This window comes from Homo sapiens, chromosome 1 (assembly GCF_000001405.40).
Source record: "Homo sapiens chromosome 1, GRCh38.p14 Primary Assembly".
NCBI lineage: Eukaryota > Metazoa > Chordata > Mammalia > Primates > Hominidae > Homo > Homo sapiens.
In genome coordinates, this window is record NC_000001.11 from 75,145,988 (window position 1) to 75,172,981 (window position 26,994).

Below are 26,994 nucleotides of genomic sequence, written 5' to 3' on the forward strand. Positions count from 1 at the left end.
TATCTTATGGAAGGGGTGGCTGAAACAAATGAGATACAATCTTTGTCCTAAAGTGGTTCTTTATAATTTAGGAATCTGAAATAGATATTTTAAAAAACTGAATCATTTATTTTAGCCAGACACTCTAATAAATCGGTATCCTTATTGTCAAACTCTCCTACATTTAGGAATGCTGAATATTTTCAACTAGAGCTTGAATTTGGCAAGATAATAAAATATTACATGTGACCAGTGAGTAAGTCAAGACTATCTAGTCAGTACCTGCTTTGGACAGAGGAGAGTTAAAATGGAAGGGATAAATAAGAAAATTTTCCAAAATTATTCTATAGAGATTTATGGGGAGAAAAAATAGTTTAAGACTCAGAGGATGTATTGGCAAATATATTTCAAATACCGTCCCATTTGTAGAAATGATATTTAAGAATTTCCTGCTAATATTATGGATTGCTTATTCTATGTAGAAGCACTCACTTAGTGATTATTAATATTAAACACGCCAAAGTTAGCTCCTGCTTTAGTCTGTTTTCAGATCGAGTTACTGCTATGCAGCCTCCTGACTTTTCTGGTAGATCTCCTGGCCTAAAAATGATGAGTGTCTACAGAGGCTCACTCCTTGTCCACGTTAGAAGAACTTGGAAAAGGAGTGAAGTAGGCTTCAGCAGCATTAGTGCCTAGAGAATAGTGAAACTAAGTAGAAATTAAAAGTACCTCTTTTTTCTTTTTGTGTGTGTGAGACTAATCATTGATACTATTGAAAGGAAGAACAATCAACTCATCTTACTTTTCCTTTAGAATATTTCAATTCTAAATGATCAGAGTTGTTTTGCTTTACTCTTTAATGAGAAATTACTTAACTAAATACAATTTGATTGCAGTTAAATTTGTGAATTTAAAAATGCATTTATGAAAGGCATGAAGTTTCTGTTTTGTAAATTATTAATAATGACCTTACAAAATCCCCAAATCTGTTCAACATTTTTCTATTTGAAAAATTAAAAAACAAAGACATAATTTGCTCGTTCTTTTTGGGGTTATTACATGTTCAACTGCATAGAAACATAACTCTATTTTCACAGGAAGATACCAAAGTAACACATTTGGAGTAGGAAAGAAAGAATAAAGTGAACTGAGCAAGAATAAACTTTTAAGCCAATTCTGCCCTTTTTTAAAAGCAAAAATCCATGTTCTGTTTACAGTGAGTCTGTAGATACAATATAGTTAGATGGGAAGCCAAGAATACTTAATTCTAGAAGGGTAAATTTGTAAATCTCAAAATTTGTAAACCTCAGAAGGTTTCCCAGAACAATATTGGCCTTTTTTTCTACACTGTCTTCAGATTTTCCTTACATTGCCAAGTTTTACTCTGTCAGAAACTCTTAACATACTCTCTGACAGAAAGGGAGTTTAACTCCTAGGGATACGAAAAATAAGACATTCCCCTTGATCTCAAGGAACTCACTTTCCACTATGGAGATAAACTTGAAAACAAATTATTTAGCTACCCTGTGACAAGTGCAGTGGCAGAAGATAGCATTATATGAGGAGCATAGTGGAGAATGCAATTAATTTTGCCTGCTGAAAAGAGTGAAGTCCAGCAGTGCTTGAGGTCTTTAATAGATTGGTTACCCACATCCTATGCCTGTAGACAAGCACAATCACATTGGGTGCCAAGCTCTTCTCTCTCATTCTTCATAATAATACATTTTTTACATTTTGTAATGCTTCCCTCAGTTGACTGACTTTTAGTAATAAAATTCAAGTATCTCACTTAATTCTCATAATGATTCTCTTTTCTGAAAGAATTCAAAGTTTTTGGCTTGTGCTTATATTCTGGTACTCTCTCCCACACTACTCTTCTCCCTTTATCTTTTATTATAGGTAGTCATTGGCATGTCGGCATCTTTCTGCCAGGAAATTAAATCCAAAGAGTTTTGTTTCATGTTTCACTATCTCTTAGCACTTGGCATAGTGGTTTCAATCCAAAGGCTTACATCAGAATCACCTGTAAGCTTTTAAAATATATACATGTTTAGACTCTGGTAAATTCTTATTCAGTGGACTGGTGAGTGTCTCTTTTTAGACACCTTTTTTTTTGCATAGAGCTAGTGCTCAAAACTATGATGGAGTTGTTACAATTAAGTGGAATCCTTCTGTTGATCTGTATACTATTAGGTATTAGGGGCCTTGAACATCTTTAGCTCAGGAAAGGTTGGAGACAAATGTGATATGATTTTTGTATTAAGTTTTCAAATGTTGGCAGTTTTTAACAAAATGGAAAAAACAATAAATGAAACTCTTGCTATTTGATTTGTGGGTTATAAGATTGAAAGAAAAGAAAAGGTGAGCTTATTTTTAACAGCATAGTTGAGAGAGTTTTACATTGAAATGGATTTTTTTAAAGTTCTCAGCATAGCAACTTGTGTATAAATTTACAAAATATGCATTCGTTTTCACTTACCCATATTTCCCCATACCGATTTTCAAGTAACAAAAGTATCCCATGTTCTTGTGCATGTCTTACCTCTTATGATAAAAATGCAGGAAGAAGACTGAGCTGCTTGTTTTTAGCTATTTACTACATACATGTTTTAAACAACAGGTTATGCAAGCACAATTTGCTCAGGACAACAACCCAGATGCACAGACACTCCAGAAATTGGCAGAAAGGACAGGCTTGAGCAGACGTGTGATACAGGTGATTACTTTACTTTTTTTTTTTTTTAAGGTTTTTAAAAAATAGATATTGGGTCTCCCTATGTTGCCCAGACTGATCTTGAACTCTTGAGCTTAAGTGATTCTCCCACCTCAGCCTCCCAAAGTAATGGGATTACAGGATGAGCCACTGTACCTGGCCACAGGTGATTAACTTAAAGGTCAATCAAGAGAAACAAAAAGTTCTAATTCTGGGTATTTATAAGTATGCATTGGTGTTTTTTTGTGTGTGAAGAAATGTGAAAACATTGCTTTTTCATTTTAAGTCTCTTCACATTCTAAATCAAATTTTTAAAATGTAATGATTATCCTGCTTGGGCTAGGCTACCATTTGTCAAATGAGTCTTTGCTCATGTTACTTCATTCAGTACTCACAGCAACCCTAAGATCCTCAGGCTAAACATGTTCCAAGATAAATCTTGCTCTAAGGTCAGTGTTTTTCCTACTTTTTTTATGATTGTGTGTGTGATGGCTGCTGATGGCCTTTGCCAAAGATCCAGGGAGAGGAACTGGTGTGAACAAAGCTGAAAAGTGATGAATTAGTGCAAGTTTTTTCAAATGTAGAATTTATGTTTGGAAATAGTGGGAAATGAAATTGTTGGAGTTAAAGTTGGAGAGGCCTGTGAATGCAGAGTTCTCTTATGAGCAGGTAAAAGCCATGATATGTGATTTTAGGAAGAAAGGGCTAGTCACAGCACATGGGAAGAACTGGAGTTGGGAGAGACTAGATAGAGGTAAGCAGCTTAGTTGGAAGGCTGGAATGCCCAGCAACGTAGTGTGGTTTTGTTGTTGTTGTTGTTGTTGTTTGTTTTTTGTTTGTTTGTTTCTGAAGAGACACTTTACTGGGGTAGAATTCATTTGGGAAACTTTTTGAAACAGGGTCATGGGTGGCCTAGGCTGGAGTGCAGTGACGCAATCACAGCTCACTGCAGCGACCTCCAGGTCTCAGGTGATCCTCCCACCTCAGCCTCCCAAATAACTGGGACCACAGTTGCACACCACCACGCCTGGCTAATTTTTAAATTTTTGTAGAAACAGAGTCTCACCGTGTTGCCCAGGCTGGTCTCAAATTCCTAGACTCAAGTAATCCTCCTCCCTTGGCCTCCCAAAGTGCTGGAATTATTGGCAATGAGCCACCATGCCCAGCTGAGAAACATTTTATTGAGTGAACACTGATGACAGTTGATGGATGCTAGAAAGACAAGAAAGAATTGGTAACTGCAATGGGGAAGCAGAGAGGAGTCAAAGAGTAAATGACTCTGCCAGGCTCAGTTGCTCACACCTGTAATCCCAGCATTTTGGGAGGTCAAGGCAAATATGTCACTTGAGTACAGGAGTTTGATACCAGTCTAGGCAAGATGGTGAAACCCCATCTCTACAGGAAAAAAAACAGCCAGGCATGCTAGTGTGTACCTGCAGTCCCAGCTACTTGGGAGGCTGAGGTGGGAGGGTCACCTAAGTCCAGGAGGTTGAAGCTGCAGTCAGCCATGATAGTACCACTGCACTCCAGCCTGGGTGATGGAGTAAGATCCTCTCTCAAAAAAGTCAGTGACTTATAAATTTCAAGTCAAAGTAATCTTGGGAATGGTGCCATTGACAGGAATGTGAAAGTCAAAAGAAAGCTGGATTGGAAGTTGGACCCTTTTAGCTGTGCTAATTATGCAGTGATGGTGGCAGTTAACTATGCAAACAGGTATTTGAAAGAATGAACAGGACTCAAGCAAAGAGATCTAATGCCATGAAATTAGATAAGATCCTTTAGAAAGAGATCATAGGGTATAAAAGGTGAAGAACGGGTTTCAGAGAGGAGAGCAGGGTAAGAGGTGCTATTTAAATGGGACGTAGTAACAGCCAGAGTTGAGGAAGGAGTCGGGTGGAGAAGAAGCATGGAAGCTGAAGAAGTGGGGTGAATTCAAGAACGAGATGGCCAGCTGTGTCAAGATTATCAGAGAGACCAGGGAAATGGAAAATAATTTTATTTCTTTTTTTTTTTTTTTTCGAGACAGAGTCTCTGTCACCCAGGCTGGAGTGCAGTGGTGTGATCTCGGCTCACTGGAACCTCCGCCTCCCGGGTTCAAGCAATTCTCCTGCCTCAGCCTTCTGAGTAGCTGGGATTACAGGTGCAAGCCACCATGCCTAGCTAATTTTTGTATTTTTAGTAGAGACGGGGTTTCACCATGTTGGTCAGGCTGTTCTCAAACTCTTGACCTTGTGATCCGCCCGCCTCAGCCTTCCAAAGTGACGGGATTACAGGGGTGAGCCACCGTGCCTAGCCGGAAAATAATTTTAAATAACACCGGAAGTTCAAAAAATTTAAGGAGTGAAAGCAAGTAACCATAAAAGGCAAGAGGAAACTCAGGGAGGGGAAAGGCAAATGTCTTCATTGCACATATTTTATTTTGTTTCTTAATTTGGGTGGTTGATACATGGGTACTTATTCTTCTGTAAGCCTAAAGGTTTCATAATTAACAAATCACCTGTACGAAGAAGCAGATGGAAAAGACCTGATGATACTGCAGCTTCTCTAAAGACCTAGGGTTCACAGTGTTTTAATTGACTGCAAGGTAATGAGGCTGTCTTAGGAGACAAGTTCTACCACTTCAGCACTTTCAGATATCCAGATTATTGTGCTTATTTCAGAGTGCCAAATTTTAAGAAGGGACTAATAAGCAATCTGAAAAACATACTACCTCAAAGGCTACCAGGGTTGTGAAAGATTTAGATCATGCCATAATATTAAAGGCAGCAGGGATATTTATCTGGAGATAAGGCCAGGAGATGGTAAGAGAAAGAGTAATATCCAGAGTAGGTGTCTTTAAATATTTGTGAAAGGCTTCCCTGCAACGGAATGTAGAAAAAGGCACTGGTGTTCACTCATAATGAATTTTCTCATTATTGAAAGGCTACACAAATGGCACGGACTACCAAGGAAGGTAGTGAGTTTCCTCTGCCTGGGAGAACAGTTTTCTTTGGCAGGTAGTTCCGACTCCACGGGCTAAAAGTTCCTTCTAATTTAAGACTCTGTATATTCATAACAATGATAGCTTCAGGTAAGTCAGATGCATGACTTATATCATTTTGAAGTTGGAAGCAAAGAAGAAGGAGAGTTTTCTTAGAGCTTTTCATATTTGAAGGACTAAGGAACACAGGCAGACATCTGTCATGTAATTTCCAGGCATTTAGGTTACTAGTACTATGAGCAAGTTAACTTTGTCCTAAGCCCTACCATTTGGAGAATATATTTTGAATGTTGGCTTTCAATATGTTAAGGTTGAACATTAAATATTTTTGATATGATTCCAAAGGAAAGAGTACTAGCATGCTTATGTGTTTATTATTTGTATCTATACATAGGCTCACTATATGTTGTAGCCCTTCAGAGTATTTTATAAGAATTACTGTGATCTCAAATAGTAATCATACTTTCCCTCAGCCTCCTTCCTAGCATTGGGCATAATATTTTAGAAAGGTAAGAAAAAAGAGTTTTTATTACTAGACTTCTTCTAATATGCAAACTAGGTCACCCAAAGATTAGGAGGAAACTGGTGTGATACGTGGAGAGTTTCACGTTTCCTAGTTACAAATATGCTTAGTAAGACATTTGTAATAAAGCAGACTGTCCTTATACTGAAGTCAAAGAATAAAGATGAGTGATTTTTTTCCCCACACACTGCATCCAGATACAATCACTGTTCACATACTCTTTCAGATAAGTGAATTATGATTTTTATGTTGTGCAGAGACAGAGTAAACTATTGCTATTTCTTCCAATCAGTGTACTAGGAATACCCTTCCATATTAACATCATATTTATTGCCACATATATTGAGCATAGCACAATTTATTTAGCTTCCAATTTTTCACTATTATAAAATGCTGCCATGAGCAACATTGTATATCTACCTTGCGTGCTTGTTCAATAGTTTCCTCAGGATAAATTTCTGGAAGGGAGATTGTTGAGTCCAAAGATAAAACATGCATAGGGCCTTTATACAAACATGAAATCTCTTTGCCTTTGAGAAAGTTCATACAACTTTATTCTGCCAGGAGCTACGTACAAGAGTTCCTTTTCCCCAACTCAGAAGAATCCTGAATACTGTTACTCTTTTACATCCTTTACAATTTAATAGTTAGAAAAGAAAATCTCATTGATTTTATTTCTGTTTCTTATATTATCAATGAGCTTGAACAAATTAGTTTATTTTTTCATTTTTAAGACCGTATGTTTTTAGCTCACTCTTCTGTTGGGTTATTTTCTCTATATCTTACTGATATTTATTAATCCTATCTGTCATGTTAACCTTTCACGGTTCATCAATTTCCTTTTTATTTTTTCCACACAGAACATTTATATTTCTATGTGTTTAAATCTCCCAGTCTTTTGATAGTTTTGGCCTTTTTTTTTGTTTTGTTTTTCTTTTTTTGAGATGGAGTCTCACTCTGTCACCCAGGCTGGAGTGCAGTGGCACGATCTCAGCTCACTTCAACCTCCGCCTTCCGGACTCAAGCGATTCTCCTGCATCAGCCTTCTGAGTAGCTGGGACTACAGGTGCGTGATACCACACGCAGCTAATTTTTGTATTTTTTGGTAGAGACGGGGTTTCACCATATTGGCCAGGCTGGTCTCGACTCCTGACCTCGTGATCCACCCACCTCGGCCTCCCAAAGTGCTGGGATTACAGGAGTGAGCCATCACGCCTGGCCTTTTTGTTTTGTTTTGTTTTGTTTTTTGAGATGGAGTCTTGCTCTGTTGCCCAGGCTAGAGTGCAATGGTGCAGTCTCAGCTCACTGCAACCTCTGCCTCCTGGGCTCGAGTGATTCTCCTCCTCAGCCTCTCGAGCAGCTGGGACTACAGGCACCTGCCATCATGACTGGCTAATTTTTGTATTTTTAGTAGAGATGGGGTTTCACCATGTTGGCCAGGCTGGTCTTGAACTCCTGAACTTGTGATCTGCCACCTCGGCCTCCCAAAGTGCTGGGACTACAGGTGTGAGCCACCACGCCGGGTCTAGTTTTGGCCTTTCTTATGCTTCCCTATCTAGAGAGTATTTCAATGTTGCCTTTTGTTTTCTTAAACTTTTATTGTTTCAATTATTTACGCCTAAACTTTAATTTATCTGGCTTGGTTCATGGGAGATAGGGTTTTATCTATTTTTTTCTCTCTTTCAAATGATAAACTATCAGTTTTCCCTAAATCAGTGAAACATGCTTTCCCAATAAAATAAAATCCCATCTTTGTCATATACAAAATTATTATATTTGGCTTTTTGTCTGGGCTTTCTAAAGGTTTCATTCTCTGCATTAGTATTTTGCTTTTCCATTATATCTACATGGCCTGATTTTAGCTTAGTTTATGATTTAGAAGTCAAAAAATTTAAAGTAGTTACTCAGAAAATGTTAACTCTTGTTGGAGGTTTGCAAACAAGAAGGAGGAAATTTTGTCAGTGAGGAGAGTCAAAAGGACTTATACTTGATTCTGAAGCTGGGTAGCATTCATGCCAGAAGGAATTTCCTGATGTCTGGAATCTTAAACTATATTTTGCTCTACCAGTTAGTTACATGATACTTTGTTTTTGCAAACCTCCTTCTGCTTGATTACCTGTGGATGATCTTTCCAAGAAGCTGCTTAACAAGATAGTTATTCTGCTGTTTATATTATACCTTCTTCATGTTTATTTACAAAGTTTGAGTGTTTTTTTTTTTCAATCAAAAGATGGTGTTTCTTTTGTTTTACAACTGCATAGGTTCCATTCAATATATAACTTATTGGAGACAAAAAGATACTTTGAAGAAACTCTGGGAATCATAGTGCAACATGTTTTAGGTTATATGTAGTCCTCTGGCGTATGTGTCTTCTGGGTCCCATAAGGGAAAAAGGCCGGTGGCAGTGGTTCCCCCTTACACATTGGAGAATGTTTGAGTAATGTCATCCTATTTGGGTGAGACTAGTGTTAGTAGTGACATCTATTGTTCCAGAGCCTGTGGGCAGAACTGTGGAGTTTGGGGTGTGGTCTATAGGTATCTCTGAGTCTCACTAACACTCCAGAGAACAGGGATGTGGAGGAGGCTGTGACTTCCCACTTGTCTTACTGGTGGATACCTAAGTCTTGTCCCAGAAACATTCCTTAGCTGCTACTTTTCAGCCTCCTGCTCAAGGCTATATACCCCACTAGATTATTAATTTTTTATTCTTTTAGTTTTAATCACTCTTGAGAGTATACTTTGCCAACCTTCTATTTTTGAATGCCAGGGGCAGGGTGTAGTTCTGAAGTAAGGCCAGCTTTTTCTTATAAATTCTTTGCAGCTTCCTTTTATTTCACATTAATCAGCCCTGATTGCCTTGTGCCATCAAGGCCCTACCACCAGCCTTGAACAGACTTATGCCCCTGATGTTTTCCTGGCCTCATATCCCTGATCCCAAAATGTTCTCATGCTAAGTTTTTATCCCTTCGCCTCTCTTTCCTCTCATGACAGAATTGTTTGGAGTGATGGAAAAAAAGTGATACAGTATTTTAATGAAGAAACACTCTCTTTTTTTTTTTTTTTTTTTTTTGAGACGGAGTCTCGCTCTGTCGCCCAGCCTGGAGTGCAGTGGCATGATCTTGGCTCACTGCAAGCTCCACCTCCCAGGTTCACTCCATTCTCCTGCCTCAGCCTCCCAAGTAGCTGGGACTACAGGCACCCGCCACCATGCCTGGCTAATTTTTTGTATTTTTAGTAGAGATGGAGTTTCACTGTTTTAGCCAGGATGGTCTCGATCTCCTGACCTTGTGATTCGCCCGCCTTGGCCTCCCAAAGTGCTGGGATTACAGGAGTGAGCCACTGCGCCCGGCCCATGAAGAAACACTCTCTATGGTCAAGTTTTATCACCTGTCAGGGAATTCAAACACAGGCATATTAGCTACTGGAAGCATTCTGGGCAGCCTAGACTTACTTGCCCTGACCTGGATGTAAAGCTCCACTTGCCCTGAATTTGCTTCTTTTATTTCTGCAGTAGAGTGGACAGCAGGGTGGTTAGCACTTTACATTTTGTGAACTCTCATCAGTGGATGTGTTTGTATTTAATTCTACTTAAATATTATGAGTTTTTTTCTTATTAAAGACCTGACCTTAACATGCTTCTTAGGGAATAGCCTATGTATTCACCAAGAGAAATTGAACTCAGCAGGTTAAAATCTGACTGGAATAACTGAATCAAGAGGTTTGTAGAAAGCTTTAAGTTCTCAGTAGGGATTTTAGTCATTTGAACAAGGATTTGAAATAAGTCCAGCAGGTGCCTAAGAATACATTTAGTAGTCTTTTTTTTTTTTTTTTTAAGTTCTGATTAAAAGAGCTTTTTCTGCTTTTCCTTTTGTCCTAAATACCAGTAGTAAAACCAAGGAGATTTCTCTGGAATTCTTGAGGGCCCTTCCCCACCTTTTCTGGGGAAGATGCTGTTTTAGTATAGAATTGGCTTTTATTTTTATTTTTAAAAAATCTAATGGAGTTTTTGGGGTACTTTTGTTTGGGCTTTGTTGTTGTTGTTGTTGTTGTTGTTTTGTTTTGTTTTGTTTTGTTTTTGAGACAGAGTCTTGCTATGTCGCCCAGGCTGGAGTGCAGTGGTGCAATCTGAGCTCACTGCAACCTCTGCCTCCTGGGCTCAAGTGATTCTCCTGCCTCAGCCATCCGAGTAGCTAGGATTATAGGTACCAACCACCACGGCCAGCTAGTTTTTGTATTTTTAGTAGAGACGGGGTTTTACCATGTTGGCCAGGCTGGTATTGAACCCCTCACCTCAGGTGATCTGCCTGCCTCAGCCTCCCAAAGTGCTGGAATTACAGACATGAGCCACAGCACCCAGTCAAATCCAATAGAGTTTAATAATTGCATTCAAGGGGTAACCTTAACGTTTGACCAACTCAAATTCAACAAACCAAAATCCCTTAAGCAATTGGTCCCCTTTCCTACTTAAATAGAATTGGCTTTTAGGTAAATCACCAGAGAGCTATCAACTGAGCAAGAAAAATGACCACTGTTATTTGGACTAAAATGTTTCTTTTCTGTCTATAGAACTTTTATAAAAGCTGAGTTACATTTATGCGGTGCTTGTGTGGTAGTGTGATTGAGGTTGCATTCATTTTTTAACTGAGTTGATAATGTGCTCAGAAGCTGGTGTGTAACCTACCTACTTCTGTTGCTTTTCTCCCTGCTCAGGTGTGGTTTCAGAATTGTAGAGCACGCCACAAGAAACACGTCAGTCCTAATCACTCATCCTCCACCCCAGTCACAGCAGTCCCACCCTCCAGGCTGTCTCCACCCATGTTAGAAGAAATGGCTTATTCTGCCTACGTGCCCCAAGATGGAACGATGTTAACTGCGCTGCATAGTTATATGGATGGTAGGTATCCCAACATTTAACAGCTGTCTCCCAGGCAATCAGCAACTGGTAACTTCTAATATTAGATTATTGATACAATTCACATTTTGAAATATTACCTCAGTAGTAGCTGAAAAATATTGTGGGGGGTGCAGTAGAGAGCAAAATTATCCAAACATTTTTATTTCTGTGATTACATTTTAAGGAAGAAGTTTAATACTCACTTTGCAGCTAAGATGCAAATATTAATAATGACTCAATGCTTGATCTTTACTTAGAAATTTTTTGTTTGTTTTTACCGGTAAATATTTAAATACTTTATTTCCTGTGATCAGAGCAAGTGTTCACTCAGATCTTTAGATGGGAGTTTAATAAGTTTTGTTAAAGAGTTGTTTTTTATAGAAGAAAATCATACATTTAGAAGAGTGCATACGTAATAACTATTCAGCTTGATGAATTAATAAAATGAATGTATCCATATAGATATTGCCCAAAGTAGCAGATATAATTAGCATTTCAGAAGCCTCTCTTATGTCTCCTTCCAATTATTATCCTTTTCTCCCAAAGTAACATGGCACTGATTTCTAAAACCACCCTTTAGTTTTGCCCTTTTTGAACCACACAGAATGTATTTTGTGTCTCACTTCTTTCAATTACATTGTGAGATTCACCTATATTATTGTGAGAATCTGTTATTTGTTTTCATTGTTATATAGAAATCCACTGTAGGAATATACCACAATTTATCCATTTCCTGGTTAATAGATATTTGTGTTTTTTCCAGTTTGTGCTTTTATGAATATGCTGCTATGGACTTTATTGTACATGCTTTTTGTGCACATTAATTCACATTTCTACTAGATATGTACCTGGGAGTGGGACATAAGGTCATGGGCTACACATATGCTCAACTTCAGTCATTCTGACAGATAGTTTTTCACAGTGGTTGAACCAGTTTACACCTTGACCAGCAGCAAGGTTCAAGGTGCTTCACATCCTCACCAACACTTGGTATGGTGTAACTTCCTGATATTAGCAAATTTGATGATTGTGCAGTGCAATCTTATTTTAATTTGCCTTTCCCTGATGACTGAGCATTTTTTCATCAGGTATTTGTATATTCTCTTTTGTGAAGAGCTGTACAAGTCTTTTTGTCTTTTGGCCTACTGGCTTGTCTTTATTATTTATTTAAATGGATTTGCTTAATTTCTTCATGTAATCTGCATATAAAGCTTTTTGATAATTGTATGTGCTTAGAATATTTTCTCCTACTTAGTTGCTTGGCTTTTTCTACTCTCTTAATGGAATGTTTCATTGAGCACAAGTTCCTAATTTTAATGTAGTTTATTTCATCATTTTTCCTTCATGAGCCATGCTTTTTTTGGTGACATGTGCAAGAAATTGTTTATACTCAAAGATAATGAAGATATATCTTCTATGATATCATCTAGAAACTTTGTTTTACCTTTGCTGTGTAGATTTACAATTCATTTGGAACTGAATTTTGTGTGTGGTGTGAGGTAGAAAGTGAAGCTTTTTTGTTATGTTGATGAAAATAGAAAATGTCCAGCTTCTCTGTAGAGACATATTTGCCATAAATCAAATGTCCGTATGTTGTGTCAATTTCTGTACCTTCTGTTCTATTTTATTGGTCTATTTATTTTTGTGTTGCTACTTAATCATTCTAATCATGGTAGGTCTATAATTTTTAATATATGATAATGTGTTTCTATTTTGTTGTTATTCAAGTTTGTATTGCCCATTCTTGGCCCTTTATGTTTTCATAAAATTTACCTACTTGTCTATTTCTACCCCAAAAGGGAAAACAATTAAGATTTTGATACAATCTATTACAGCAAATATATTGATCAGTTTTAGGAAATTGCCATCTTAACAGTATTTTCTTCCATACCATGAACTTTAGCATGTCTTTCCATTTGTTTAGATCATCTTTAAATCATCTCATGATTTAGACTTTTCTGTTTAGTAATCTTGCACATCTTCTGTTAAGTTTATCTCTAAGTATTTCTTTTGATTCAGTTGTAAGTGGTATTTTCTCTATAAGTAGAAATCTGGATTGGTAGTTATTTTCTTTCAGCACTTTGAAGATATGATTACCTTGTCTTCTGATTTTCATTGTTTGTTTTGCATATGGATAGCTAATTAACCTGGCCCCATTTATTGGTAAAGTCAGCTATTGACCTTCTTGCTCCTTCGAAAATAAACGTCTTTTTTCCTCAACTTTTTTCTTTGTGTTTGTCTTGAAAAAGTTTTACCATACTGTGCCTGGGTGTGCTTCTTGAATATGTAGTTTGATGTCTTTCATTATGGAAAATTCTCAGCTTTTGCCTCCTCAAATATTGTTTTTGCTCCTATGAAAAAATTTTCTTGTTTTCTTCTGAACTATTTTTCTAGTTCACTAATGCTCTCTATATCTAATATCCTGTAAAAAAATCATCCACCGACTTCTTAATTTATTATGTTTTTCAGTTTTAAGATTTCCATTTATATGCTGAAATCATCCATTTTGTCACTTTATCCTTATTTAAATTGTTATACTAAAGTTCAGGTGTGATAACTCCAATATCTGGATCTTTGGTGGGTCTATTCTGTTTTCTTAATTTTCCTCTTTATTTTCTTTCAAGTCATGTCTTGTTATTTGTCTTCTTATTTGCTATTGCATTTCAGATGTTGGGTATGAGTAACTAAAAATAATTTGAGGCTGTGGATGATATCTTTCACTAGAGAAGATTAGTTTTACCCCCCAGGTAGTCAGAATAGGGTGAAATCAACTTAATCCAATCAGGCACAAATCCTTAAGAGGGCTGGTATATTTTTGTTTTACTACTCCTTGGAGTTAGCCCTTTGGAATCACAAATGAATCCCTGTTTTGTTTTGTTTTCTGTTGTTGTTTTTAACTAGGGCTTCTCCTCTTCAGCGGGCCCTGCTCTTTAATTTTTGTTTCTCACCACTCTGCCAAAGTCTAACTTCTGAATGCTCTGCTAAACTTCTTGGCCTATCAGACATTTGTTTTGTTTTAAATTGTCACTATCCTTGCGGGAGGAAAAGCATCCTCATTTTCTTTCCCTCCACTCTGGGACTTTGTAAGTCCTCACTACTTAAGTGTCTTTCAGATGCCTTCAAACAGATTTTAAAAATTTTGTCCAGATTTCCTAGTTGGTCTCAGAGAAAGGTTTGGTTTGAAGCAACATAGCCCTTGCTGAAAGCAGAAACTTCATTTTAAGTTTTGGTTAGATAAAAAATCAGAGCCTGTACTGTTGTTGCCATTTACTTATACTAGCATTAAAATTGTGTGTGTTCACATGAAACACAGTAGTGTTGCCTGAGTCCAGTGTGTTTTGATGTATGCTTAGGGAGGAGGTAATTAAACATTAATGAAAGAAACTTGGGGAAGATCATCCTATACAAACACCTTCATGAGAAAGCTAGCAGCAGCATCTCTGAAGAGGAACCCATGTCTTTCTAGCTTCAGGGTGAAGTGCAGTGAATGGGGTATGGATGGAGGACATTAAAATGGCAAAATCTTGTGGCCCCAAATAAAGATTTGGGGGTAAAACTGTTCCTGGACTCTCACTATGCTGAATAGGTTAATGCTTCTGCTGAGGTCAGTGGAATGAGTGTAGCTTGGTGCCCTCAGCTATAATGAGTGATGAAAACAATGCCTTGGATTGTTTTTGTTTGTTTATAAATCAGTTTTATGCACCCTACAAAACTGATCCACAAATTTCTTTCTATTTTGTAGCTCATTCACCAACAACTCTTGGACTCCAGCCCTTGTTACCCCATTCAATGACACAACTGCCAATAAGTCATACCTAATTCTTTTTTCAGGGATAGACTTGATTAAGGATATAAATTTGTCATTTATTATGTATAAAATACCATTGAAAAGATATTACTGTTAATTTTTTATTTAACACCTAAAGCATTTCCAACATCACTTTGCTGCCCAGGTATGTATCTATAGTTGGCCTGCAAGACACTTTTATTAATTCTTCATTTTTTGTAAAACTTATGTTTACAAGAAGAAAACAAATCAAAACATTTTTTGTATTGTCTGGAAATAGTTCACTCTAGTGTGTATCTGTTAATTTATTTGTCATCAAAAGAGCACTTTGCCTAAAAGAAAGGACTGACAAGTGTGCAAAATGTTTACAATCTTTTGTGAAATTGTAGTTTATCATTAGTTTGTATCTGTAAGTTATTGTAATAAATATTACCTGTATTTTTTGTTATATACAACTTTATACTTTGAAGCTTGTATCTGTGAATTTGCAACTGAAATTTATTTTGCCAATGTTTTCTGAATGAACTGAATAAAGCTTCTGTTGTAGCATGCCATGCAAACACATTATTGTGTTTGTGGTTGATGAATTATGGCTGTAAATAACACTATAGTTTAATAAGCCCACCATTCTGAGTTTATTAAACATTTTCCATTCTTGTGAAAATTTCAACCAGTTTGTCCTTTTTGTGTGTTTTCAGCAGTAAGTTGACTTTAGTCTCTTTAAAATCTAACAACTAATAAGTTTAAAAAGTATTGTGTTTTGAGCTGCATTGTATGAACACATTTGAGTAGGAAACATATTATTCAAAAAAAAAAAACACAGTAAAACATTTAATTTGGCAAAAATTGTCTTTTAGGCCAGCTAATAAAATCAATGTGAAAGAGAAGGCAGAACACTTTTCAGAATGGACTTCGGAGGGTATTACAAGCCAGAAATGAAATATGGGCCATAATATATTTCTTCAGGAGTGAAAAAAGAGAACTAAAAGTTTCTAGAGCAAGAACTCTTTGCATTTTCTTCTTGGTGAATACCCTTTAGGGATGGTGATTCTGAGAGCTGAAATCTTAAACCTCAGGACTTTATCTTATGTGGCAGTGGACTTACAAATTTTTGAATTTAAAGAATTTAGTACTCACTTTTTGTCTTTTTATATGCCAGTTGGGGAAGAAAAAAGGTAATGAGAAAAAACTTTTAGAACTTAGGTTTAAGTCTGTGTTTAACTGAGCAGATTTGCATCAGGCTGAGGACTGGAAATAATAGCAGAGTATTTGTAATTTTATTCTAGTAATCATAAATACAACCAGAAAGTAATCATATGGATATAAGTAACTTATCTGCCTGAAACCAGAAGCAACAAACCTGCTTCATTATGGGAGAAAGGGGAGGGATTTTTTTTTTTTTAAACCGGCTACTCTATTTTAAATCCCTTTGTAGCCAGAAGTCAACCCATCTAATCTTGAGCCTGATGCTAATCTCTGTGGGTTTTTGTCTACCTGTCCCAGGCATGAAGTGATGAGGTCAGCTTTACCTTTACCTGATGTCTAGGAAAGCTTTTGTAGTATAGCCAAGCTCTGCACTGTTAGCAGTTTACAGCATTTCCCAGCTGACTATAATTGGCATCCCTTAGCTTGGGAGGTGGCTGATTGTGAGTATTCATTTTTATTTGCTGTCTTTTTCCTGTGCTCATCATCCTCTGACTCTGTACAGAGAGTTTTTACAAAAATATATCACCACCCTTTTTAGTTCCAAAGATGAATGCCCAAAGTTGAAGTAAAACTTCCTAACAAAGAGGCTCAAAGCTATCAAAATAGATGAGATTTATATATCCTGAATATAAAACTGTTAATCATGAAAAGAGATAGATGTGAAAGTACTAAAAATATGATATGTGATAGAAGCTTCTGACTTTGCTATCTCTAGCCAGAGATCTTATTTTTAAAACCTAATATTAGGAAAGAATTGAAGTATTTCCATGCTAGTAATATTCAGTGTTTAAGTATGTGAGCACAATACTTACTTGAAATTGAGTATGGTCAGCTTTTGTGAAGATTAGAGAAAGAAAACTCTATATTGTTGGAGTAGCAAAGATGTGGGTAACAAGTAGTTATCTCTTAGGTGTGAAGACATTCATGAGCTGTGAGAGGGTAGGATACCTTTTTTTTTTTTTTGCAATTCAAATCAAGAATCCCATTCAAACATTGAAATGGAAGTCACACTAAGTCAATACTCTTTAAGTGATTCTTTTTATTTGGACAAGGTAGTATTTAGTAGTAGTTTTACATTTGACAAATGTCATTTTTAAAATTCCACATCACTCGTTGTAAATTATAAGTACACCTGTTTTGAATATCCCATAATAAACATTGTTAGATAGAATCACAGCTCATGCTTTTAAAATTTGTTACAGTCATCTGAAAGCTGATAGCTGTAGTATTTCTTGATGTGGTATATTATGTGTATAATTACTCTACTAGCATGATTAAACTAGGTGGCATATTGGGACTTTTGTTATGGCATGGATGACTTTACCAGTTAGCAAAAGTAATGTTTCTATTTTATTATTTAGAACAGAAGTAATTTAGGTTGCAATACACTAAGTACCAAAAGTATATTAGTGTAGGAAAAATTCTCAATGGCTCCTACCGGAGGAGATAAAGAAACTGATATTAGCACTATATGATTTTTACTCTTTTGAAACACAACTAAATATTTAGATGGATCTGAGTCCAAAACAAGTTCAGGTACACTGGATGACATCTCATAAACATCTACTTGGATTCAATCAGATAGTAAGTACTATTTTGTAGCCTACATTTTCCCTTTAGTAAATATCTTTACAAGTCAAATATTACCTACAATATCATTTTAATTGATATATAGTACTATGTCCCCTCAAATTTCTTGTATTAAAACATAGTCTGCAATGTGGTGGTATTAAGAGGTAGGGCTTTTGAAAGATAACCAGGTCATGAGGGAAGAACCCTTGCAAATGGGATTAGTGCCCTTATAAAAGAGACCTAAGGGGCTTGTTTGCCCCTTTGGCCTTCAGCCATGTGAAGACACACAGGTGCCATCTATGAGGACTGGGTCCTCACCAGACAGAATCTGCTGGTGCCTTGATCTTGTTCACTACCTCCAGAACTGTGACCAATACATTTCTGTTGTTCATAAATTACCCTGTCTGATATTTTGTTATAGCAGCCTGAATGGACTAAAACATATAGTATTACACTGCTTGAATAAAACAATTTTATTAGATAAATAGGTTGTATCTAACTTTTTATTATTATGAATAGAGCCTAACATTGTGAGCACTTTCAGGATGTCCTGTTTGAGTGCCTCAGGGGTATTTTGATATGTATTCACAGCAACTTCATGAAATGGATTCTATTATCACCCTTATTTTACAAACATAGAAATTAAAAAATTGATATGTCCACTATCTTGGTGGCAAGTAACAAAGCCAGTATTTGGATTTAGCAGCTCAGTGATTCCAGATGCCATAATCTTAACCACTATGCTATACTATTACCATTTTAAATGACACTGTGAAGGCATCTTTGTGGCTACCTGCTACCTTTTAATGTATATTCTTATTTCCCCAGTGTGAATTCTTGGAAGTGGAATGGATGTGCATGCATAGGTTTAAAAGGCTCTTGAAATGCATTGATTTCCCACCAAATGTTGCACTAAATTACATCTCCACCAGCAGTGTTTGAAGTGTTTTTGGAACCCTTGTCTGTCCTGCCTAAATTGGAGTTGATAAATATTTTTTAATCTTATACTCAAAAATACAATTTTAAAAAACTTTATTTATTACTTGATATAAAATTGTAGTTTGCATTTCGGAGAACCAGTATCCTTTTTTTTTTTTTTTTTTCCAGGCAGAGCCTCGCTGTGTTCCAACTACTGGGCACAAGTGATCTTCCCAAGTAGCCAGAACTACAGATGCATGCCACCACACACCACACAAATTTTTTTTTGTAGAGACTAGGTCTTGCTATATAATATGACGCACAGGCTGGTCTCGAATTCCTGGGTTCAAGCAGTCCTCCCACCTGTCTTCCCAAAGTGCTGAGATTATAGGCATGAGCCACTACGTCCAGCCGAAAACTAGTATCTTATAAAGGGGCTAAATTTAAGCACAAGCTGCCACTTTTGTGACTTTTTTTTGCCTTTAGTTATTCTGCATATATTACTAAAGTGAGCATTCATTAGGATTTTTTCAGCTGAGGTTTCATTCACTTGATATCAAATGTTTTACTTTAGTACCTGGCACTCTATCATATTCTGTTTTCTTTGTTGCTGATTATGGTGATAACTTTATTACATGGTCCTTCATACTTTTTAAATGCGTTTCTGTATATCATCATGCTCTCATTCAACAGATGAGGGAATTGAAATTTAGGAAGCTTCAATTAACATAATTAGGCCTTTGGTTTTAATATGCAAGAATTCTCCAGGGCACCAGATTATTTTTATAAATGTATAGAGATCTTAGGAGAATAAATTAACAAATTTCCCCCAGTTCCTTGAGTTTCATAAGAAATAGACTGCCATAGGCTTAGAGGATGTGAAAACCACTGCAAGGAACTGCTTCTCCTTTTCTAAATTGTCATCAAGTACAGTACTTACCACAAAGATCTGAACTTGCTAGGGGGCTGAGAGTGGAGTTTAGGGATGGACTGTGTATGGGCACTTGTATGGGGGTATCAATGGAGGAAAAAAAGATGTTAAGAAATAAAGAATAGAAGGGGTCCTGGGGAGGTAGAAACAACATCTGTCTTGCTCTCCATTACATTCCCCAGTTCCTGCCACCAAGTAAGCACTCAGGGATTGAATGAGGGTGGTAGAAAAACAATCAGAATAAGACTCTATGTTTGAGCGTCCTAGGATAACTTCAAATTCCAAAACAGATCTTTTCAAATCCTTAAGGAAAATATTCTACCCTTCCTTTAGCAAATATCTTATATACCTGTGGCAATTTATATTCTTTTTACACCATTTAGCATGGAATGGGAGACAGCTGGATTTTGACACTTTCTCTGACACCAATTAACTGTATCCCAAGGACACTTAAGCCTCCCTGCATGCTGATTTCCTCAACAGTAAAAGGAAAGTTTTTATGAAGCAAAAGTGAGATGAATGGAAAAAAGACATGGTAAAAACATGATCCATTAATTTTGAAGGGCGGGGTTAGTGGCAGGAAATCAGGCACTCTGAGGCCGGGCAGTTGGAGGTGATGGAGCACCAGAAGTTTGGCAAGCACTGCCCTATCCCAGGCAACCCCAGGAACAAAGCACTTTGTGCATTTCTTTAAATAAAGTCAGAGGTGGAGCATCTATGCTGCTAATGAGTTACACATTCTCCAGCAAAGTGTTTTTACTCCAACCTCCCTACAAATGGAAAACATCTACTTCCTGTCTACATTAACTCCCTTCTTGATCTTAAAGAATTATTCAGTCAAGTAGAGGTGTGACCTTCTGTGATTTGGATGTAGAGAGTCTGTAAAATTTAGTTTGCAGAAATGATTTGAATGTTTTCCAAAATAATTTTCTTAAACCCAAAGGAATTATGATGCCATATTTGAAAATGGAAACCATTGTTACAAATTCAATTTCAAAATATTTACTTCCCGGAACCAGGGTGATGTCTCTAGAGAACCACTACTAGTTATTAGCTCATTTCTTTCAGATGTATTGGAATAAGTCTGTTATTTTGCCAGCATGGTTCTGAACCACAAATTTCATCTTTGGTTGAAACTCCTCCAAGCGAGACCATATGCAATTTTCCTAGTTCATCATTTGTCTTTCAGAAGACAGCATGGTGCATTTATGACAATGGTAAAAACATGTCTCAGAAGTCTTGGTGAACAAAACTAGCTTGACAGGCTCCACAGTAGAGCCTAGCACTTGCAAAGGGTCATCAATGGAACCAAGGTGGGAGAAGGATCGGGAAACTTCTAACAAAGACTTGGATCCAATCCTATAATGGGCTTCCTCTCCTGTTAGGATAGAATGAGGGCGATGAGACAGTCTACAGGAAATTCATGGGCTCAGAGGAGCATGCAGTGCTCATGTAGGGCAGGGGATAAGGTGTCGAAGTGGAGCTGAGCTGGCACAGGAGCAGGCAGGGCAAAGGCAGAGTTGCAGCCTCTGTGTGTCACTTGCCTGCTTGTGTTCTAATCTGAGAGTGGACTTCTGGCCTTTGTGAAGCATTAGTTTATTCTGCTCTGTCATGGACATCTGCAGGAATGGCATGGCAGTAGGGCTGAAGCTACATTACAGACAACATGGAGAAGTATCACAAAAACTTTCACGTCATGCTGTCTGGAGTCCTCGTTTTGCCACATCCCACCATGGTGACTGTGGGCAAGTTATTAAACTGCGCTGTGCCAGAGTTTTCTCATATGCAAAATGGACTAATAATAGCACTTTTCCCAAATGGTTATTGTGACCCTGTGATAAGATAGTACATATAAAGTACTTAGAAAAGTATCTGGTGCACAATAAACCCTGAAAGTTATCTGTATTTATTCCTTGGTAAACTAACTCCTAACACCAGAGGAAAAAAAATGCCACCATCTTTCACTAGCTTTCCCTCTCCTTTCTCCATTTCTCTTTTCCTGACTAACAATTCCTCATCATCCAGGACCAAGCTCAAATATCATCCCCTCCAGGAAGCCTGCCCTGATTGTTCCCCACACCCCACCCCAATGTGGGTGAGTTCTTTGTGTTCCCATCATTTCCTCAAAGGATATCTCTACACTTTAATAAGTTTTATTATAATTTTCCTTCCTCAGTTTTGTCTCAAGATTAGACTAGAGACCCTAGACTATTCATGTTAGGGTTTCTAGGAGCTAGCACAGGGCATTGACAGAGCAGTCTCTTGCCATGGTTAATTTACTCCATGCCAGGATCCCAGGGACAGCCTTTCCCCAGCAACTCCTCAGCCTGGGCTACACGATGGCCCATGGAAGTTCTCTGCCTCAGATGGAACTGTTTCTTGTTCTCTTCGACTAAGCAAAACAGACAGGTTGGGTCATTATCGAGTAATTCAGGCAAGAGAAGCAGCCAAACACATGTTTTTATCTGAGTTACCCAAATTGGCTGACTCCCCAGCCTGCAGTTACTGGGTAATTGCTCAATCTTCCATTTGGCTTTTACTGTGTAAATGTGGCTGCAGAGTCTTTTTATTTCTCTCGAATGGCTCCTCCCATTTTCTGTCTAATATAGGTTAAAATGTAAAGTTTTCTTTTTCCTCTGCCCGCAGTAGCTGTCTAGGCCATCAGCACACCTTGCTTCATTAGCCTTCAAAGTGGGCCAGAATGGTCGGATAGGTATCTAGTCATAGTTTTCTGTTTGTTTGTTTGTTTTAGACAGAGTTTCACTCTTGTTGCCCAGGCTGGAGTGCAATGGTGTGGTCTCGGCTCACTGCAACCTCTGCCTCCTGGGTTCAAACTACTCTCCTGCCTCAGCCTCCCAAGTAGCTGGAATTACAGGCACCCACCTCCACACTTGGCTAATTTTTACATTGTTTTTTAGTAGAGATGGGGTTTCACCATGTTTGCCAGGCTGGTCTTGAGCTCCTGATCGTAGATGATCCACCTGCCTCAGCCTCCCAAAGTGCTGGGATTACAGGCGTGAGCCACTGCACCTGGCCTGGTCATTGTTTTCAATTTGTCCTGGATAATCTGCTGTCAACCCCTCTTTTTTTTTAAAGAGAGAGGACGCACAGGAAACACATAACTCAGTCATATGTTTCACACACTGGGAGCTTTTCCTGTTCTGGCCTCAGGTGCAGGAATTCTGAAATCCCTTTCTCAGAAGCTATGACCACAGCTCACTGTAGTTTGTGGAAAGCTCACAGGGTCTGCTTTCAAGTAGTTAGAGCCTGGTTCCAATTCCAGTCCAGCCTCTTACTACCTATGTAACCGTGGGCATATCACTTACCAATTCATCATATGCTGCTTGTTTTACCCTTGAAATGTCTCTAGAATTTACCTGCTTCCCCACATCTTTGCCATTCCTACCTACTGCAAAACATCATCTCCCACCTGGACTATTAAAATACCTACACAACTTGTTCCGGGCTTCCACCCCTTTCCCCCTAAAATATGTTCAAAAAGATGTGTTTAAAACCTAAATTAGAACTTTTCTGTTGAAACCCCCCCTGTGGCTTTCCTTCATATTAAGAAGAAAATGTAACATCCTTTGTGGCCTTGAAGGGCACTTTTCATGGGGTGGCCACTTCACACCCATGCACCCCATTACTTTCTGCCTTCATCTCCTACCCTCTCCCCTACTCCCCTACTCATTCACTTGCTCTCTTGCTTCCAGTCACACTGGCCTCCCAAGCTATACGCAAGTGGGCAGGATAAAGTAGTGTTTATGAGATTTGGAATGAGACAGCTTGACTCTGCCATTTTTCTGGCTGCATGGCCTTGTTGCTTAATCTCACGGAGCCTGTTTCTCTTCTGTAAATGAGCACACCACTACCCACTTTGCAGGGTTACCCTGAGGATTAAATGAGATATTAAATATAATGCAGTTGAGCACAGTATTTGGCATATTGTCAACCCTACGTCAAGAAGTGGTGGCTACTGAAGTGAGGTGTGAATGAGGAGAGTGGGCGGTGGAGGTGGGTGGGTGCTCTGAAGTGGAAAAGGGGCTCTAGAGCTTTCCCTAGAACAGGATAACCCTTTCCCTCACAAACCGTACTCCAATTTCAAGCCCAATTTCTGCTGAAGTTCAGCTCAAGCCCTTTCTTTTGATGTTCTTAGTAGAAATATTTAAACTATCACTGAGCCATCCCAATGAACTGTTGATTTCCCCTGCATACTCACTCTGCCAGCCCACAGCTCCATTGCTCTGGTCTGGAGAAGGCCAAGCCCTTGAAAAATTTATTCCCCAGAAGCCTGATTGATCTTGATTGCCTTTCGTGGCCCTACTCCAAGTTCTCCATATCACTACTCAGCTGTGGGTCCCATTTAATAAAGGCACCACAAATGTGGAGGGGGAACTCCTGGTCTTTGCCAGTGAAACTGGCTCACTTTTCAGGCTTCATGGTGCTACCCTGGTTCCACTGTTGGATGAACACTCTAGGAGCCTGCCAGCTATGCCAGCTCTGCCAGCTCCATTTTTTCCTTTTCAGCAGATACCCCAGGTCTATGTTGCCAGAGAAATGGCCACTATGTGCTGTTTGGATTCTTACCTCTATGCTAACATGAATCCACACTGTCATGCCTGCTGAATCATTTTTCTCTGCTCAGCTGAAAACTCAAGACTTCAGTGCTTCTGGGCTACGATTTCTTTTGGACTATCGAGTACAAGAACCTGTGGATTTTAGACCAGTCACCTTGTATGGTAATTGAAATTTTAACAAGCTAAATGAGTAAGTGATATAAAATTCTGTTTAATATTAACTCTTTAACCCAGGGAGTTAGGTAAGTGCCACCCACTGGGCCTAAATCATAGCACAAAATCACTCAGTTGCTCAGTTGGCCAGCAAGTCAAGCAAAAAAGACAAAAACAAAAGCAAAAACAAACACAAAGCCAGCTTCCCTATAAACTACTTTGATCAGCTTTTTAAGCTTTCCCAAACTGACCATATTATTTAATTGTTAAGAGAACCTGTGGACCTTGGGACACAGGAACTGCAGAGTGCTTAAAAATCACTGAAACACATGAGCTATCTATTTCTTTACAAACCAATGACTAAAAAGGATAATAAGTTTTAAATCAGGCTGTAATTCAGTGGCTCTCAAATTTTAAGATACTCAAGAGTCAACTGGAGACTGGGGAGGTATTAGAAATGGTCAGTCTCAGAGATTCTGATTTGTCACATCTGGGGTAAGGATCAGAAGTCTCTGTCTCTCCTAAGCTTCCTGGAAGAATTTTGCAGCAGATGGTCAGAGATCACACTTTGAGAAACCCTGAGACTGTAGGAGGGAGTTGCTAATTCACACCATATTTGCTCTCATTAATCTACTGTTTATTTTTCTAGTGTCTGCTGTGAGCTGGGGGCTTAAAGTACACTATATTTACTCTTTACAACATTGCCGCATGGTATATTATTATCATTCCCACTTTACAGATGATACAATTGAGGCTCAGCACGGCCAAATAACTCACCTGGTGGGCTGGGATTTGAACTCAGGTCTTTAATTTCTTTTTTCACCACATATGATACAGTGAAAGTTGAGAATGAGGGAGGCAGGTGGCCTGGGAACAAGCCAACTTAAGGCACGCTCAGAGCTTAACCAGCCCTGGCAGGTCAAAAAGTTAGAATAATTAGATCTATTTTGTTTACACCAAAATTCCTTTTGTTGATTTTTTTTTAATTCCATGAAATCTTTTACCAAAATGTTATTTGGCATTATGCAGTTGCCAAAATGTGAGTTAATCATTTGAGTGAGTACACTTGGTAGCCAACATCTACATATTTTTCAAATATGCAGACATTTTGGCTAGTTACAGACATACTGACTTAAGCCTAGTTTTAAGGTAGGAAATCTGAGTCACTGAGTGACCAAGAGATGGGGCCAAATTTTTATTATTATTATTATTATTATTATTTAGTATATTTTCTCTACCTGGTGTGCTAACCTGCATGGATGCAAATGCTTCTTCCAAAATGGGAAGGGCCCAATATACTCGGTGTTGCAGGAGGTTGTTCTCACATGAGAATCACTTATCCAAAGAAGCTGACAACTGAGGATAAAGTGAATCAGTGCTAATAGGCATGTTCTCTGTGCCTCGAGAGAAGATTGACCAAGCTGCAACCATAACAAAAATGCTACTGAACTGTTCCATGCTGTTAAGATGGTGAAGGCTGGGGTGAGCAGGAAGGTAACACCAGAGGAGGGCTGCTGTTCCAGGTTTCAGACGATGACTTATAAAGTTTCTCTTGCCTTCCCTTCTTTCCACCAAAGAAGGAATGATAAACAGGGTAACAATGGCCATCTTAAAGACTGAATGGCAGAGGGAGAAGGAGCATGGTAAGTCTGTGGCTTTGCTAATGGACAGAATAGAGTGGCACAGCTCCTATACTGAATGCTTAGCCAACATCTTGGCAGAATGATTGGTGTTTGTGTAGGGCGAGAAATACTGGCCTGGAAACTTCAGGGATGTGCTGGTAGAATAATAGCAAAGAGATTTGCACAGCAGCTGCTTGTCTCATCCCTGGTTCTTGCCAAAGCTTCCCCCATCTTTCATCTCTTGAAGCACAAAAATTCCTCTCTTGCAACAATACTTCAATTCCATTTTAATATTCTTATTCATCAAATGGCATTTTACAGCCTAATTTAATGACCTTATAACACACACACTCTACTCATATCACAACTATTTGGACTGCTTCTTACAGATGTATGAGACCACTATACCAGTCCTGAGATCTTTAAACAGTCACATTTAAATACAATTTAGGAATTATTTTGCCCTCGTAAGTCTAGGCCTAATAACTATTGCCCAAATAGGAGATTTCAAAAGAGAATAGGGAAGATTTGATTGTAGCCACTGTTGAATTTGTCCATCAAAAGTCTTTTGAAGCTTCCTTTGACACAACATAACTTCTAACCATGGTGAAATGAGGAAAGACTGACTGAATAAGAAGCTTATATCTCTGCCAGTGTAAGATTTTTCCCAAACCTTATGTGTTTCATTTTATTTTCCATAATTCTGGGTATGAAATTCACATCATTTCCCTTACCAGGATATTCTGAGGTTCAGCAGGAATTTGGTTGGGACATATTTTCCTGAGCATCTGCCTGAATTCTCCTGCCTTGAATATTTTTAAATCTTCATTCTTTTAGTCATGCTCACAGACTCAGTGCCTTGCAGAATGCTGGAACAGTCTTTGGAGATCATCTTATCCAATCCCCTTATATTACTTTCTCAATCCAAATTCCTCTCCCTTCCAGCTTTTCCTTAGAAATGGAAACAAAAATAATCGTGTTTGGGCCCCCTGCCTGAATCTCCTAGGAACACCCTGGGCTCTGCTAAATGATTTGCTTGCCAGTGGAGTCTCTCTGTGAGAATACTGAACTGCTCCCAAGTCTTCATGACACTACCTGCTTGTACCTTAAAATAACTCTCAGCTGGAAACCCTAATGTC

The 26,994-nt window shown here is 38.2% G+C and overlaps 1 protein-coding gene across 5 annotated transcripts in view; it reads left to right on the forward strand.

Moving 5' to 3' along the window:
• LHX8 (LIM homeobox 8) overlaps nucleotides 1-26,994 on the forward strand; it is a 71,021-nt gene that overhangs the window by 17,554 nt on the left and 26,473 nt on the right. For 3 of the 5 annotated variants that reach the window (NM_001001933.1, NM_001256114.2, XM_047421040.1), the window contains 3 exons: nucleotides 2,600-2,695; nucleotides 10,906-11,089; nucleotides 14,832-15,546. In NM_001001933.1, the coding sequence (NP_001001933.1) occupies nucleotides 2,600-2,695; nucleotides 10,906-11,089; nucleotides 14,832-14,908 (357 nt within the window). In that variant the 3' untranslated portion in view covers nucleotides 14,909-15,546. Of the gene's footprint in view, nucleotides 1-2,599; nucleotides 2,696-10,905; nucleotides 11,090-14,831; nucleotides 15,547-26,994 lie in introns of those variants that run through there. The other 2 variants (XM_017001316.2, XM_017001317.2) reach the window with 1 other exon arrangement.